At 37.8% G+C, this 16,557-nt stretch overlaps 2 long non-coding RNA genes across 2 annotated transcripts in view; one reads left to right on the top strand and one right to left on the bottom strand.

Moving 5' to 3' along the window:
* The window catches only part of LINC00499 (long intergenic non-protein coding RNA 499), a 114,634-nt gene extending 113,046 nt beyond the window's left edge, over positions 1 to 1,588 (bottom strand). The window contains exon 1 of the long non-coding RNA NR_051987.1: positions 1,452 to 1,588. This is a non-coding gene — a long non-coding RNA (long intergenic non-protein coding RNA 499). The remainder of the gene's footprint in view (positions 1 to 1,451) is intronic.
* LINC00498 (long intergenic non-protein coding RNA 498) overlaps positions 1 to 16,557 on the top strand; it is a 35,573-nt gene that overhangs the window by 1,389 nt on the left and 17,627 nt on the right. Inside the window, exons 2-3 of the long non-coding RNA NR_198994.1 lie at positions 12,354 to 12,447; positions 12,641 to 12,751. This is a non-coding gene — a long non-coding RNA (long intergenic non-protein coding RNA 498). The remainder of the gene's footprint in view (positions 1 to 12,353; positions 12,448 to 12,640; positions 12,752 to 16,557) is intronic.

The raw sequence follows: 16,557 nt of genomic DNA, 5'->3' as shown, positions 1-16,557 counted from the left end.
ACAGCTTAATTTTTTTTTAAGCAGAAAAATTCAAAGCTAGAGTGACTAAACTTTCAATTATGTGGAAGGCTTTAGAGCAGTGGTTCTCAGCCTGGGTGTGTGCCACACTGACATGTTTGGAATGGTGTGGGAAAGAGGATCACGCAGAGAGTGGGGTTAGGAACTAAGCCTAATTTTGAACCTCTTACTCAAATTGCAGCTTAACCATCAAAACCTGGGGATCCTCATCACAATGCTGTGCATAAAATCATAAGTCTTACTGATTAAAAAGAAATTAAGAACATTGAAAGGGTGAAATTAAAAATACTGGCAGCTCTCAATTTGCTAATTCATATGTATCCATTTCAGTTACCATGATTTAGTTAAATAACACCAGTCCCTCAATAGCATGGTTCACGTTTCATTAACTATGGTATATTAACTGCAATTTCATGAAGTTCTAACCTCACTGATAGCACTTCAGTTCAGAAATCACTACATAAATATCAGATGCACATCATGATGAGTGACGGATCACCTCAGTATGGCTACTGCACATCTGTTACTCAGTTACCACCCAGCAAAGCATGTAATTGTGTTGCCTCCATGTCTTCCCATGATAAACTCACATGACATTTTACAAAACGGATGATTAAAAGAAGGAATTGTGCAACAGACGAAAGTGCAGCCAAGAAATGAAAAGCAATAATGCTGGATGTGAAATTAGATCCGATAAGAAGACAGCTGACTATGGAATATTGACATTGCTGTCATTTCAGTTTCTAGGTATGAGGCCACAGAAATTTACTAAAAGAGAACTTAACATAAATGAGAAAGGTAGTTGTGATGAACAGAATGAAGATGTCCTAGAGGAAGTAGTGCTGGCAGAAAATTTTCACGTTAGAAAAAACTCTTGGAGGTGTTTCAAGACACTGAAAGAACGAAGAATACAATGCGGGAAGCCGATCCGAACTTAGAAAAGCGTATGATAATTCGCCAGTGCGTAAAGAAAGATGGTGCTCCACATTGTTAGTTACATGACAAGGAGGCAAGCATGGTTTAAACTACTTTTGATAAGTTTTTATGAAAAGTAACTTCAGTTTTAAACATTTCTCATGTTTTAAGTTATATTGTACTAGGTATTAGTTTTACTATTTTTATTTGCTTGTACCTTTGTCAATGACAGCAAGAAAGATTTTGATGTTTTGGCAAAACTTTTTAAAGGCCAAGGCCCAATCATTAGTTTTCTCATTGATTATTAAGATTGCTTTGCGCAATCATCTTTGCAGTCCCACACTATCGTGCTTGTACTGAGGATTATCTGTACCTTATTTACTGTTACATAGTAACTTCAATACTGTCTCATTTAGTCCTCACAATAACTTGCTGAATGAAGCATGCATTATTATTTGTATTTAACAGAAAAGAGAGACTTTAGAGAAATCAAGAAATATGTTTAAATTTATGCTTACTCTTGGCTGAGCTGTGGTCCTGCAGTTGTCCCGTATTCTCTCTTCACTACAACGCTGCAGAGACTTATTCCCCTAAGCTGCCCTGTCCATCAGACAAGCACACCATGCCCGTTACATTCCCAGAGTTCCAGTTATATCCCCTCCCACCCAGGGGCTCCTCTGTTTTGCAGGGTTCACTGTGGTCTCAATCTGGGTCTTGCCTTTGTAGATCAATCGCTCTTTTGTTTCTCTACTATTCAGGGCATATTGTTGTTGCTGTTTTAAAAACATCTGACTCTCTCTTTTCTAATGAAACTGATTGTGTGTTTTTCCACAAGGCCAGACTCTCCTTTCCTATGATCAAATAATTAAAGGCAATGAATTAATGGAAGAAGCTTGCCGACCCCTTCCAGTGACCATTGGAATCCCAAGACTTCATTCCAGTCCTTTTTCTTCCTCAATCATCAAGCCCATCACTTTTTTCTTCTTACGTCTTGTGGATTTGTCTCTGCTCTCAATCTCTGTTTCTAGATATAAATTTAAACATTCATCATCTTTGCTGTAGTATATTCGTTTATTTTATAAACGCTGATAACACTATGTTCCAGACATTCTTTTAAGTGCTTTACAGCTTTACAAATATTAGTTTATTTAAAACCTCTTAACAGCTACATGAGGCAGATACTATATTATCATTCCCATTTATAATTGAGAAACTGAGACAGAGGCTTAAAGTAACTTTCCTAAATTCATACACCTGGTAAGTGATAGAGAAAGGATTTGAAACCAGGCAGTCTAACTGCAGAATCCATGCTTTAGGCACTGTTTTAGAATGTATCTCATTCATTCATACATTCATGCATTTATCCATTTAGCAAACATTTATTAAGTGCTTATCGTATCAAATACTGTAATAGAGAAGAAAGAAATGTATAAAAAATAAGTGGAGAAATGTTTTATAGGTTACATCACAGGTCAGGGTTAAAGTAAAGACACTAAGGAGTGAGCGGTCAAGTCTAAACAAGAAAGGCAGAGAAGAAATTTAAAATAGATGAGTCTTGAAATATGTGTGGGCAGTTACCTGGGAAACAGAACACTGCATTTTAAGGGCAAGAGCATTTTAAAATAGAGGGAGGGCTGATAACAAAGGCATGGAGGCATGAATAAACTGGTATGTTTGAGCCACTTCCACGTGGTTGAAGCAAGGATTGAGGTAGGGTTTAAAGTGAGACGAAAGGTTGAAAACACAGGAAAGACCCAACGTCAGGGGCAAGGACTTGGTGGTTCTGGCAATGAAACTTGAGTGTACATCTGACTCATGCGCTTCTGCCTGGGGCAACACAATTAGACTGTAGGAAGCTAAAACAAGGGAACTTGTATTCTAAACAAATCACCAAGTTTATTTTGGGGTAAAATAGTTTGAGAGCCACTGCTGCAGGTACGCCAGGCCTCCGTGATCTGGCTTCCGGTTTGAGTACTCTGCAGAGCACTTCACAGACAGCTTCATTCTGCACCATGGGAGATTGAGCTTTCCTCTTAACAGAACGAGTCCATTCTTATTCATTTCTCCATTGGAAAAACCAGTACTTGTGGAGTGACTCCATGTTAAATTCCTTCTGTATAGAGAAGCATATCTTGGTTCAATTTTACATAATTTCACCATGCTAGGCACTTTGAGTTATTGCAAAGATGAGAAAAAAATAGATTTGGCTTTTAGCAGCTCAACATCTAGTCATCCCCAATCTATTTTTCATATCTCATTATAAGAGTGTGATCATTTTAAAAATTTGCATAAGAGATCTTAAATAATATATGAACACTAAAGCTGGCTAGCATTCTTAGCGTTATACAGTGCATCCTGCATTCACGGATGGGAAATGGGCATCACTACTTAATGGCTACAGAAGGTCTCCTGACTCTGGGCTCATGCAGTTTTCCACCACATCGTGTTCCTTCTCACTCCAGGTTAATTCCTTCTTTGATGCATATTCTTTCTTGAACATTCACATATAGTTTTCTATTTTCCAGAGCACTCTTTCCTCCTCCTTTTTACCTGTGAACTACTAACCATGTAGTCTAAGCTTAGCAACACTTCTTGTGCCAAGCCCTTCCTGACCATCAAAGTTGTGGCTAAGTGCCCATTTTAGTAACCTGCTGTACTAGTACATTTTTACACTGCTGTAAAGAACTACCTGAGACTGGGTAATTTATGAAGAAAAGAGGCTTAATCGACTCAGTTCCACAGGCTTAACAAGAAGCATGACTAAGAGGCCTCGGGAAACTTAAAATCATGGCAGAAGGCAAAGAGGAAGTAAGTCCGTCTTACCACGGCAGAGCAGGAGAGAGAGAGCAAATGTGGAAGTGCCACACACTTTCAAACAACCGTATTTCCCGAGAACTCACTTACTAACATGAGAATAGCAAGGGGGAAGTCCGCCCTTGTGATCCAATCACCTCCCACCAGGTCCTTCCTCCAACACATGGGGATTACAATTTGAGATGAGACTTGGGTGGGGACACAGCCAAACCGTATCACCTGCAGTAACACTTTAATAAACAAATGTCTACCTGGATGTTTTCTCCACTAAACTGAAAACTCCTGCAAGATGGCACTTTCCCTGATGTATACCGTGTTGTGTGCCCTGAGACTGCTAAGTATTTGTATTCCCAATGCCTAGCAGTCTCAGGACACACAACAGGGTGTACCTTGATGACTTAGGAATTAACGAATGGATGGATGATGGATCCTCTGTATTTCCTTTTATGAGGAAGAGATTAATTTGTACTTATTCCAATAAACCCACAACAGATTTGTATTTAGGGGCATTCATTCAGTTTCAAGGAGCTGCAACAGTTGAATATTCAGTGCTGTTTTTGTGATAATATTTGACATTGAAGATTATATTAAAATTGATGTTGGTGTTTGTACAGGCATTTTTGAACATTAATCAAACAATGACGGGAAATATTGCTACAAGTTATGAAATTAAGTAGTTGAGGAATGATACAACCAAAGTAAGCAATAGAAACTCTAGTTTTTGTCTAGTGGGGGTGGGGGTTTGGGGAAGATATAAAACCTAGGCTACTCAATCTACTTTCAGCTTCTCATCTACTTCTAGAACCATAAAATATTAATGTATAAGTCACTTTTAAAAATCCTTTATTTGACCTCCAAACAATTTAAGAATTGCTGTAATATCTGTGAAAAGTGGCCCTCTACCCAGTATTTTAATTCTTTGAAATAGTCTCTTTACTTCAGAATAATTAGAAAACTCAAAATAGTAATAGTAATATTAATAATCTTCTCTAAGGTTGTAATCTGGGCTGAGCACAGTGCTAGATGTCAAATATACATAATCTCATATAGCTTTCACAGCAATCATATGAAAACTGTTATTACCCCCATTTTACTAAAAGGGAATAGCCAAGACTGAGAGAAGGCAAAAACATAAGTCCTCATCTGCTAGCAATTATTGGTGATGTGATTTTATATTATTGTCTCAATGACTGCAAAATCCAAAGCCTTTCTTACGAAATATACAAGTTCTCAAATAATGTATTGTTTATATTAATGACAGTTTTTACTTCCCTAATTTTATATATTCATTTTAGTTTTGTCTTTTAGAGCAGCCCAGAAAAATCTCATCCCTCTTTTTCAGCACAGTCTTTCAGAAATTTGAAAATCGTTATTATATACCCTGTAAAACATTTCTACATGAATGGAATTAGTGCCTTTATAAAAGAGACCCCAGAGAAGTATCTTGTTTCTTCTGCCATGTGAGGACACAGTGAAAAGACAGCCATCTATGAAGAGGACCCTCGCCAGACACCAGATCTAGTGGCACTTTGGTCTTGGTCTTTTAAGACTCCAGGAGTGTGAGGAATAAAACACCCAGTCTGTGATATTTTGTTATGTTAGACTGAATGGAATAAGACAATGTTATGGACTGAATTGTTTCCCCTAAAAATTTATGTGTTGAAGACTTCACACCTGAGTACCTTAGAATGTGACCTTACTTGGTGATAGGGTGTTTACGGAGGTAATCAAGCTCAAGTAAGGTTATAAGGTGGAATTTAATCCTGCGTGACAAATTTCCTTATAAAAAGGGTGAATTTCAACACAGAAACATGCATATAGGGAAGGTGATATGAAATTGCAGGGAGGACACCATCTACAAGCCTAGGAGACAGGCCTGGAACAGACAAAAGACCCTCCCCTCACAGCCTTCAGAAGGAACCAATCTTGTCAACATCTTGATTTCAGATAGCTAGCCTCCAGAACTGTGAGAAAAAACATTTCTGTTGTTTAAGCGAGCCGGTTTGTGATGGAACTTAGTTATGGCGGCCCTAGCAAATGAATACATCTACAGATTCTTCAGCTATCTTTTACAACACTTTGTTTCCCGTTGGGTTTTGACCACTGGCATTTTAATGTAGCAATACCCCATTTGAAATTTAATGTCAAGGCTAAACAGATGTAGTCTGACAAGTGAAAAGGAGAGAGAAATGGTTAGCTTAATTTCTCTTTTTTCTAGTTACTGTTCCTCAACACACTATGAGTTGCATTGAGTTCAAACAGCTGAAACTTTGGATTCAGAGTGAGCTTCTGCTTTTTGGATGCACAAACAATGCTTTGAAACCCTTGTGGAGAGGGGAATCCTTCTCCACAAAGTCAGCAGCTCATTAATCATAGACACAAAATTTGGAGAAAAAAATGAACTTTCTGTTTTTCTCCATTTTCTCTCTTTGATGACGCAGAAATGGAAATACATTTTTGTAATACATCTTATTTCAGATCACTAAGCTGAAAGCAATCTACATAGCCATAAATTTGGAAATAACAAGTATAAAACATTTCAGAGTGAAGGAAAAATTTTTTTAAAAAAGAATTTACTGAAAAGTAAAAGTATCTGTCACAACTGTAACAGGACTCTAAGCAAACATATTAAAAGTAGCATTTCTAATCAAATTCATATTCACCAATATCAGAAAAAAAGTAGAATGGGTATTCTCAGATAACCACTTTCTTTGCAAACAAATGATGACTGTTGAGGAGGAATATATAAATCATGATGTTGACCCTCTTTTTGAAGGTAATGTACCTTGAGTTGTTTTCATAAGGGTGGTGATAAATTCTCCCCATCTATCCACAATCTTTATATGCCCACAAATATACATATGTTGTACAAATATGTACGTGTTTAGGTATATATACATATATGTCTATGTGTGTATATGTGTGTGTGTGTGTGTGTGTGTGTGTGTATATATATGAAACCAACCTAGAGGAGGATAAGAATTTTAGCAACAATGTTTTCTCTTGCAAAACTAGAAAACTTACATGAATATCAAGCATATGACTTTGAATTAACACCATGGTCCAAATGAGCTAATGGATTAAATTTCAAAAACATTTCACACAGTGACATATATGGAATATAAGCCTTATTTTTACAAGCATTCACATAGTCACTATTTACATAGTCACAGAGACATAGAATGTGGTCATATTTTACATAAGCTTGAGATAATGTGACATAGCACGTTAGTAAAAATCTCACTTTATGGGCATGAACTAATGCTTTAAAATAAATCTAAGCTTTTTTCCCCCGAATTTTTAAGAATTGCATTATGTGAGAGCCATGGAATCAGTCTGAAGGAATTATAAAACAAGTCGTTGCTCTTGTCACAGGATAATGCTGCCTTGTCCTTTACACAGACCCCCAGACCGTTAGTGACACATCTCCGAATGATTTGCTTAACTCTTGTCCTTTTTTTTTTTTTTTAACATATACTGTTATCTTTAAGAGTTTTTAAACATCTTATAGCAATGTCATACAAGTATTTACTGGGAAATAAAGCATATGCTAATACTAAAAAACACTCTTGACTCTCAGGAATGTTGGAAAGGAAGTTAGGTGTAGTATACAGTATGCAGAAGTCAGCCATAGGTAGCCTTTTAAGATGGCCTCCAATGATCACCTCCGCCTTCTGGTATTTATAGCCTTGTGTAATCTCCTTCCCTTGAGTGTGAGCTGGAGCTAGCAACTCACTTCTATCAATAGACTATGGCAAATGGGATGGGATGTCGCCTCTGATATTAATTTACAAGAGATTGACTTCAGCCTTGTTGGCATATTCCATCTCTCTCTCTCTCTTCAGCACTTTTTGCTTGTGTGTTTTGGTAAGATGAGTTGCTACGTTATGGGCTGCCCTATGGAAAGACCCATGTGGCAAGGAGCTGAGAGTGGCCTCGGGCCAATAGCTGGTGGGGAACTGAGGCCCAGTCTAATAGCCTATGAAGAACTGTATCCTGCCAGCAACCAAGTTCCAAGTGAGCGGGGAAGCTGACCCCCAGTTGAGGTTTGAGATGACTGCAACTTCTTTAACACCTTGATTGCATCATGACTGTGCAAGACCCTGGGCCAGAGGACCCAGTTATGCCATGCCCAGATTTCTGACCAACAGATATGTGAGATAGTAAATATTATTGTTTTAAGCCACTAAGTTCTGGGGTAGTTTGTTACACAGAATAGATACTAATTCAAAGACAAATACTGACCATGTTCTATTTTATTGTTAATTTAGGACAGACTGGGTTTTTTTTGTCGACCCGGCTGGAGTGCAGTGGCATGATCTCAGCTCACTGCAACCTCCGCCTCTTGGGTTCAAGCAATTCTCCTGCCTCAGCCTCCCAAGTAGCTGGGACTACAGGCACACGCCACCACGCCCGGCTAATTTTTTTGTATTTTAGTAGAGATGGGGTTTCACCGTGTTGCCCAGGCTGGTCTCAAACTCCTGAGCTCAGGCAATCTGCCCACCTTGGCCTCCCAAACTGCTAGGATTACAGGCATGAGCCACCACACCCGGCCGACTCTGTGTTTTATGAGACAGATATAATGCTAAGAAAAGAAAAAGCAGCAGGAATGTAAGGATACATTTTGCTGGTTTTGGAGTCAACCTTTCCAAGAATGCATTTCCTCTTTCACATTTTTTTCCTTTGGAAATATTAATCTTAATCTGCATGAATTTGGAATTATATATGATGTTCTAGAACACATTCCTCACTTACTCTAAAAGTAACTTTAATCTATACATATTTAATTGTATTGCTAAAATAACAGAATCTTACTTTTCTCTCTATATATATATATTTTGTTTTTTCAAAACAGAGTCTTGCTTTCAACCCAGGTTGGAGTGCAGTGGTGCGATCATGGCTCACTGTGGCCTCAACTTCCCAGGCTTAAGCGATCCTCCCACTTCAGCCTCCTGAGTAGCTGGGACTATAGGTGCATGTCACCACACCTGGCTAATTTTTTTTTTCAGAGACACAGTCTCATTATGTTGCCCAGGCTGGTCTCGAATTCCTGGGCTCAAGTGATCTGCCCACCTAGGCTTTTGAAAGTGCTGGGAATACAGGCACACACCACCATGCCCAGATAATTTTTGTATAAAATATCACTTTTGATAGAACTTCCAGTTATCAAAAAGTCTTGTCCTTGAGTTGTTAGTGATCATAGTTTGAATCTTTCTTCAACTAAATATATCTTCAAACTATTGAAATAAGCAACAGAAATATACTGATAAGGCTTACCTTGGGAGAGCAGTGCTCAGGAAAGCTAACTACTATCCCAATGCTCAGGAAGGCCAAACTCGAAACTGTCTTGTTACAGCAAAAGAACCAACCAGGCATGGTGGTTTGGGGTAAAATCAACATTTTGTTAATGTTTTGTTTTCAGCCTCAAGTTTTTTTCATTTATGAGTCTGATTTCCTTTTGAGGCTGCATCAACAATTTCAGGCTGGTTAGATACCAGAATCAGCCACCTTTTGCTTCTTTAGCAGAAATAGTTCTTGTTAAATTGAGTTGAAAAAGTTATTATATTGCAAGAATGAGATGCTTCATTCGCCTGTCGTTAAGATCAGGTCTTGCAGATGTTTAATTCATACGCTAGCCTTCTGAGGTCAGGATTATTATCCCTATTTAGGGGATCTGGAAACCAAGGCAAAAAGGTTGAGTAATTTATCCTAGGTCACAGGAGGGATCAGTGTCTGAGCTAGGATTACAGTTCAGAAAGCCCCAAATTCCAAGACCTATGATCAGACTGCACTTATTTCAAGCCGACTTGGCCTACTTAAAATAAGTCCTCCCTCCCTTACTCCTGCCCCCAGGGCACTCTGTTGAGTATTTGAACTGCTGTCAGCAAATGTGAAAGAGGTCTGGAGACACAGCCTAGAAATATACCAGAGATTGGCCAGTTGGTTGGGCTTCATTATAGCTTGACAGGCAGTTTCTCCTCCAAAATTGGTTTTCATATAGGAATTTTCAAAAGGTTTTTTTCAAATGTAGGAATATTAAAGCAATTTATTTGGCCTTCATTAGTCTTTATCTCATTCATCAGAACTTAAACTATTTAGGAGTAGGAAATAACAGCAAAAGAGGCTGCCTAATCATGGTAAATACTACGACAGAAGTTTGCATAACTTTGGGAATATATGCTGGTACCTGGTTTTCCATTCAGAATTTTCCCTAATAAGGGTCTCTGCATTTACCAACTACATTTATTTGTTTCCAGAGTTTTATGAGACATGTATTTGAAAAGAAGATACAAAGAAAAATATATGTGTATGTATGTATGTGTGTATTTGTATATGAGTAAAAGTAATAAAATTCTTAAGCCAGTGTGAAAGAGAAAGAGATGTTCAGAAGAAATATTTTTAGAGTACTGGATTTGGAGGCAAAATACCTGGGTTTGCCTGCATTTTTTTTTTTTTTGGCCAGTTTTACGATCTTAAGCAAATTATTTAATCTCCTTGAAGGTACAAAGATAAACCAAATGGCTCTTGATCATTAAAGAAAGGGTTCAGTGTGGCAGGAAAGATAGATAGATCACCAGCCAGGATACAATGTAATCTGTGCTAAATTAGTGTTATGATCAAAATGCTGAGGGAACATACAGGCAGCAACATTTAAGCCTAACCTTGATTTTCACTGCATACAAAACAGAAAGCATTTTAACTAGAATGACCAGGGCAGACTTGTGGTGTAAGACTACAAGGCTTAAGTGAGAAAGGTTAAGTCCTGGATGACTGGACTACTTGAATCACCAGGGCAACTTGAGAAAAGTTACAGGAGATGAAGATGAAAAGGAAGAAGGGGGCAAATCTGGGGACCAGGCTAAGGAGCCTAGACTGTGAGACAAAGGGAGATAGCTGTTCATGAATACAGGTATTCATTCATGCCTTCCTTCAAATTTTCATTCATTCATTCATTCAAATTTATATTATCAGGCACCCTAATGCTTTCTAGCAGAGACACAGATGTTAAAGACATCTCTAAGTATACACTTAGAGAGAACTCTCAATGTGGGTGACAGAATGCTTTGGAAGATAGACAAGTAAACAGGCAATTACCGAGGTAGTGAGTACCATGATGGATGCACAGGACACAGAGGCAGAGAGACAGAAGAGCAAGGCTAGCCTGGGAGGTCAGCAAAGACTTTCTGCAAAAGAAGGTGTCTTAGGGGAGTCTTAACAGGGAAACAGGAGGAAGCAAAGGAATAAGAAGGGACAGGATTAGGGGGCATGGAAAACAGCATGCGTAGAATCAAGAGACATGGACGTGAGACTCGCCCTTTTGATTATTCATAAAGCTTTGTGGAAATGTCACTGACTTTTCCAACTTACTTCAGTGCTGTGGAAAACATAAAGCACCACAGGCCTATGAGGAACTGGAAGGGGTGCCAGTAAAGAATAGATTCAACTAGAGCAACAAGAAGCAGTGATGACTGTGAGTCACAGAGAGACACCATCAGAATTCACACAGCATGTTATTATGCCCGGGACTCGTCATTGCTTAGGGTCAACACAGTTGAACACTAATTTGTTAAATTAAGCTCTAATGATGTTTGCCTCATTCAGTTTCTTTACTGGCCAGGAAATAATTTATTATTCTCATCAAATTAATTGTAAATTGAGAAACTAAGAGATAAAGAGTTGAGGGGGGCCATAAGAGCTGATGCTGAAGGGTAGAGGAGACTCTTACTAAGGAAAGGGGATTGGGCTGGCAACTGAAAAGCATGCCTGTTACAACACAGTCTCTCTCTCTCTCTCTCTCTCTCTCTCTCTCTCTCTCTCTCTCTCTCTCTCTCTCTCTCTCTTCCCCACACCTTCTCCAAGTCACTGAGTCCCAGCCTCTCAGAAGGCTGAGGTGAGAGGATCACTTGACCCCAAGAGGTCAAGCCTGCAGTGACCTATGATCTTGACACTGTACTCCAGCCTGGGTGACAGAGTGAGACCTTGTCTCTAAAGAAAGAAAATAAATAAATAAATAAATGAAGATACCCAAAGAAGAGACTCTGTCTCAAAAAAGAAAAAAAGTGTGGTAGAAAACACTGAAGAATAGTGTGAGGCAATGATGTTTAAGAACACGCCAGTGTCATTGAAATCATGACTGTGGAAGGGGAAAGCAATACTCACAGGTGTATCACAGAGACTTCCTGGAAGAGGCTGGATTTAAGGATGGATTTTAATGAAATGTTACTTTTGGATTGATCAAGAGGAAAGGAAAGAGCATTTGCATATCAGGTTCAGAAATATACATCAGAACATAAATTAAAAGGAAATAAAACACACTAAGAGAATAACAAATGATGAAACATGCTCAAAGTGAAACATACAATAACATCAGAGGATCATTTAATATTCACCCAGTCGTCAGTTTATGGGCACTTATTGAGTATAATACATGTGCCTAGCTCATTGCTAGTTGCAGTGAGGAAATATAGGAAGGAGACATTTCTGCATTCAAGAGGCTCAGCTTCTTGGGCAAGAGATGAGAATGACACATGACATTATCTGCCTTACAATGTTAAATAAGTTTGTGTTACATGTTTGTTTCTGTGGTACAATCCTATATTTAACAGAGCTCAAAATGGAGAAAGGAACAGAGTAAGAACAATGGCTTCAGGAGGAAAATGCAATGATAGAAGCTTTGAAAGAAAGACAACTAGAATTCAGGTAGATACCAAAGAGCACGGAGGGCATTTCCTGAAATTAGCTGAATGTGATATTTTGCAACTGTTATTATGAGAGACTACGTATATAGGGGATCCTAATTTAATTCTGTTTGGATAGATGAATTCCTTTTGACAAGTTTAGACCAAGTTCATATTTCCCATGGCAATTTTATTTCTCTTTCATTTTCCTTTAGGTCATAGTAGATGATGATACCTGCCTGTCTGACCTTTGAGGAAGGGGAATTTCTGAAACCTAAGGCTTCCTTGTATTGCTCAATTCAGTGAGAAAGAAATCACTAATGATAGTAAGCATTCTGTCATTTTTCTAACACTTATTAATTATTAAAACTTGTTAAGTAATAAACTAGTTTATGACAGCAGTTGCTCTATTTGTATTATAATTATTATCATCATTATTACCTTAAAGATGTGTTTTTTAGTAAAATTTGATTGTAAAATTTAAATAATGTCAATAGAATTGAGGGGTATTTTGAACAGAATCTGAAATACAAACATAAACTCAGGCATTCAATTTTAAAAGTATGGAACAACTAACTGTTCACAGCATGCTGGAAAACACTTGGTAGAGAAAGTGAGATTGGGGTCACTGGGAGCATAGATGGTAAAAGTGTGGCTTCATTATGACTAAAAAAAACATTCCATTCCTAAGAAAATCTCATATCCTGGTAAGCAGTTGGTCTTCTAGTAGAAGAGAATTAAAAAAAAAAAAAAAGGACACATTGCGGTTGGGAACTCTAAAACATACCGAGTTACCTCTCTGATTTTATTTAGCCTAAAGTGAACATATTTCATGATGAAGGCTAGAACTGCTCATGCTAAGCTGAAAGTGATAGAAAGAAATTAGAACTGTCTCTTTCAACCTCTCAGGAGAGCAAAGGGGTTAGTGCAGTGGGGAAGGCTGGTGACGTGGCCAAGTTTATGAGCTGATGATGGTGAAAGCCTGATTCTTTCCTTTCATCACAGATTTGACTGGCCAGTAATGCAGTGCAATGGCTGGATTTTCTTTCAAATCAGTGACTTGAGAAATGCTATTATCCCTTGGTTTCCCACCTGTTGACAAACTGCTAAATAATATGGGTGATTGGTTGAAGTGTTACATAAATAAACACATCGTTGCTTTGATATGATCATTTGCAAAGCAGCAAGAAGACTTTCATACCCTATTTAAAGATATATTTAGGAACAGAATTGAAAAACTGCAGGCTTAAGAATCAGAAAGGTCAGGAATGAAATTGTCAATCTACTACTTGTAATCTTGGAGAAAGTGATTTTGCCTCTCTTAGCCTCAAATTTCTGGTCTAAAATTGAGGTTAATAAGCTTAATTACATAGGCTTGTTTAGATAATTACATAAGGTAACCATTGCAAAATTAATCTGTTTTGGTGAATGCTCAATAAATATTAGCTCTCTTCCCTTACTCAACAAAGTATAGGTTATCAAAAATTGGGATTGTGAGTAGAAACTGGAAGTTACTGCCAGCAAGTTCCATTCTAAGAATCCCATGTCATAAAAATGAGAGATGAAAGAGGCTATATTTCAGCTACATTTGTCACTTGTTTTTATTAATCACACACATACACCGAACATTTTTATATTTAATTGAAAGATGAAAAGTTGTAATTAAATGAGAGGAGTGGTACATTTAGAGTCGAGTATGGGTAAAGTTTGTAAGAGCGCAGATAGATGAGTGTTAAGAATCCTATTTACTAAGTGGCTTCACTTCTTGAGCTTTGGGGAAATGGCTCTTTCATAATTTTAAACAGTTTGTGAATTCTCCTTCAAGTCAGGATTGTCAAGGGGAACTGAATATAACCTCTGTCTAATTCCACTCGGTATTTCATTTCTTTTTTGTTTGCAAGGTATTAATTATTAAATGTGCTTCATATTGATAATTATACTGCATCTTATTTATTAATGACTCACTATTAAGCTTAAACTTAATATCTCCAGAGGTTCTCAGGTCTCTACCTTTGCAGGTCATTGCTCTTTTTCTCTTTGCCGGACTGACAGCTGAGAGGGTTTCAAGCTTTGGGGTTTAAGGTAGATAGGTTTTAATGGTGTGATTACCCACGACACAGTTCATTACCACTAATGGAGTTACCCATGCACCCAAAGGGAGAAAAGTGATCCTGCACAATAGTGAACTAATAGGCAATAAATTATTACACCTGAGAAAGGCAATCATACGTAAGAGCAGTAAATGGCCAGTGCCCAAAAGAAAGGTACCTATTTTTATTTTGCCTGAAGTGTGTGTCTCTTTTTCAGAAGGACAAAGTTTATTTTGAAAGAAAAAGGAAAAAAGAAGTTCCACTTTTTCTTTTGATCAGTGTAGACATGGCAAGAGACACAAAATAATCAAGGCAAAAATTGAATTTACTCTTTATAATACTGCTTTGCATAACCCATTTCCATGTTTGGGCTTCTCTTAAATTGAGAATTATATATGAATCTTTACATTCAAGGTTTCAGGAACATAGATTGCAAATTTATATTATGAGGGGATAAAAGTTCACTAGCTTGTTCCACAAAGGGAAAAACATACTGTAACTAGCAAACATTGTTCATGCGTTTTTTGATATTTAATTACAACGGCAAAACCTCTTAAACCTGAGGCCTACAATGCTCATATGGCACTTTGGAGACCAGAGCCTTTGGTGCCTTGGTCTCCCCAGTCAGGAATCAATCCCTCAGACTACTCGATCACATTCCACTGAGCAGATAAGCTTTTCTGCCCCTGCACCCTAAAGGCATCTCTGGCAATTGTTTTCCTGTGGTTTACTGCTCCCATAGCTGGCTTATTTTGTAGACTACTTCCAATATCTCCAAAGTAACCCCTTCTGATTTTCACCTCCAGTAACAGAAATTCTTAATGAGCCTTTTCTCACGCACAAGAAAGAAAGCTTCCCTGACGTTCTAATGTTAAGCTGAGATTTTGAAGCTCCCATCCATCCCTGAAATTAGAAAACCCCAAATCTTTCATCCAGGTAATTATACTCTACAGTCTCTCTCTTATGCTTAGCCGGTAAAGCCATCCTCACTCATCCAAGGTAAAACACTATCCTCCATGGTGGTTCCAGTTTGAATATCTTGGGGTCCATTTTGCCTCATTTTTTTTGTTAGGAGAGTAGTAAATGTGCTTGGTCAGAAATGGGGGCATGTCCTCTTTGCATTTTTGTTTAAGAGGCTGAATGTGTGTGTGTGTGTGTGTATGTGTGTGTGTAAGTATATATTTTTAAAAAGCATTTAAATAGTTTTAGACTCACAGAAAAGTTGCTAGATATTACAGAGAGTTCCTGTCTACTCCTTTCCCAGTTTCTCCTATTGTTAATATTTTATGTTACTATGGTGCATTTTTACAACTAACATACATTATTATTAACTCAACTCTATACTTTATTTAGATTTTCCTAATTATTCCCTAATGCCATTTTTCTGTTCAAGGATCTGATCCAGCATACCACACTACATTTAGCTATCAAATCTCCTTTGTTTCCTGTGTGACAGTTTCTCTGGCTTTCCTTGTTTTTGATGACCTTGACAGTGTTGAGTACTGGACAGGTATTTTGTACACTGTCCTTCAATTTGGATTTATCTAAAGCTTTTCTCATAATTAGACCAGGGTTATGTATTTTGAGGAGGAAGATCACAAAGGTGAGATGCCATTCTCATCTCACCATGTCAAGCGCACTTGTTATTGGCATGACATCACTAATAATGTTGACCTTGATCACCTAGCTGAGTTAGTGTTGCCAGGTTTCTCCACTGTAAAGTTACTCTTTCTCCTCTCCTCACTTTCCACACTCTACTCCTTAGAAGCAAATCAATAAGCCAATACACTTAGTCTACAATCAATGAATAAGAGTTAAGATTCAAATCCTTAGAGAGAATATTTACATAGATAATTCAGAATTTTTCTGTAAAGGATATTTGGCACTTCTCCACCCACTTATTTATTAATTAAATCACTTATTTGTATCAGGATCATTACCTCTTTTATTCATTGCTAAGTCCCTAAGCAATGTCTGCATGTAATGGTTTCTCAATTAATAAATCTTAAAAGAATTAATGTAACCACAAGGTCAGAAGGTAC

Source organism: Homo sapiens, chromosome 4 (genome assembly GCF_000001405.40).
Source record: "Homo sapiens chromosome 4, GRCh38.p14 Primary Assembly".
NCBI lineage: Eukaryota > Metazoa > Chordata > Mammalia > Primates > Hominidae > Homo > Homo sapiens.
The sequence above is the reverse complement of the archived record's forward strand: the minus strand, read 5'-3'. Positions and strand labels throughout refer to the sequence as shown.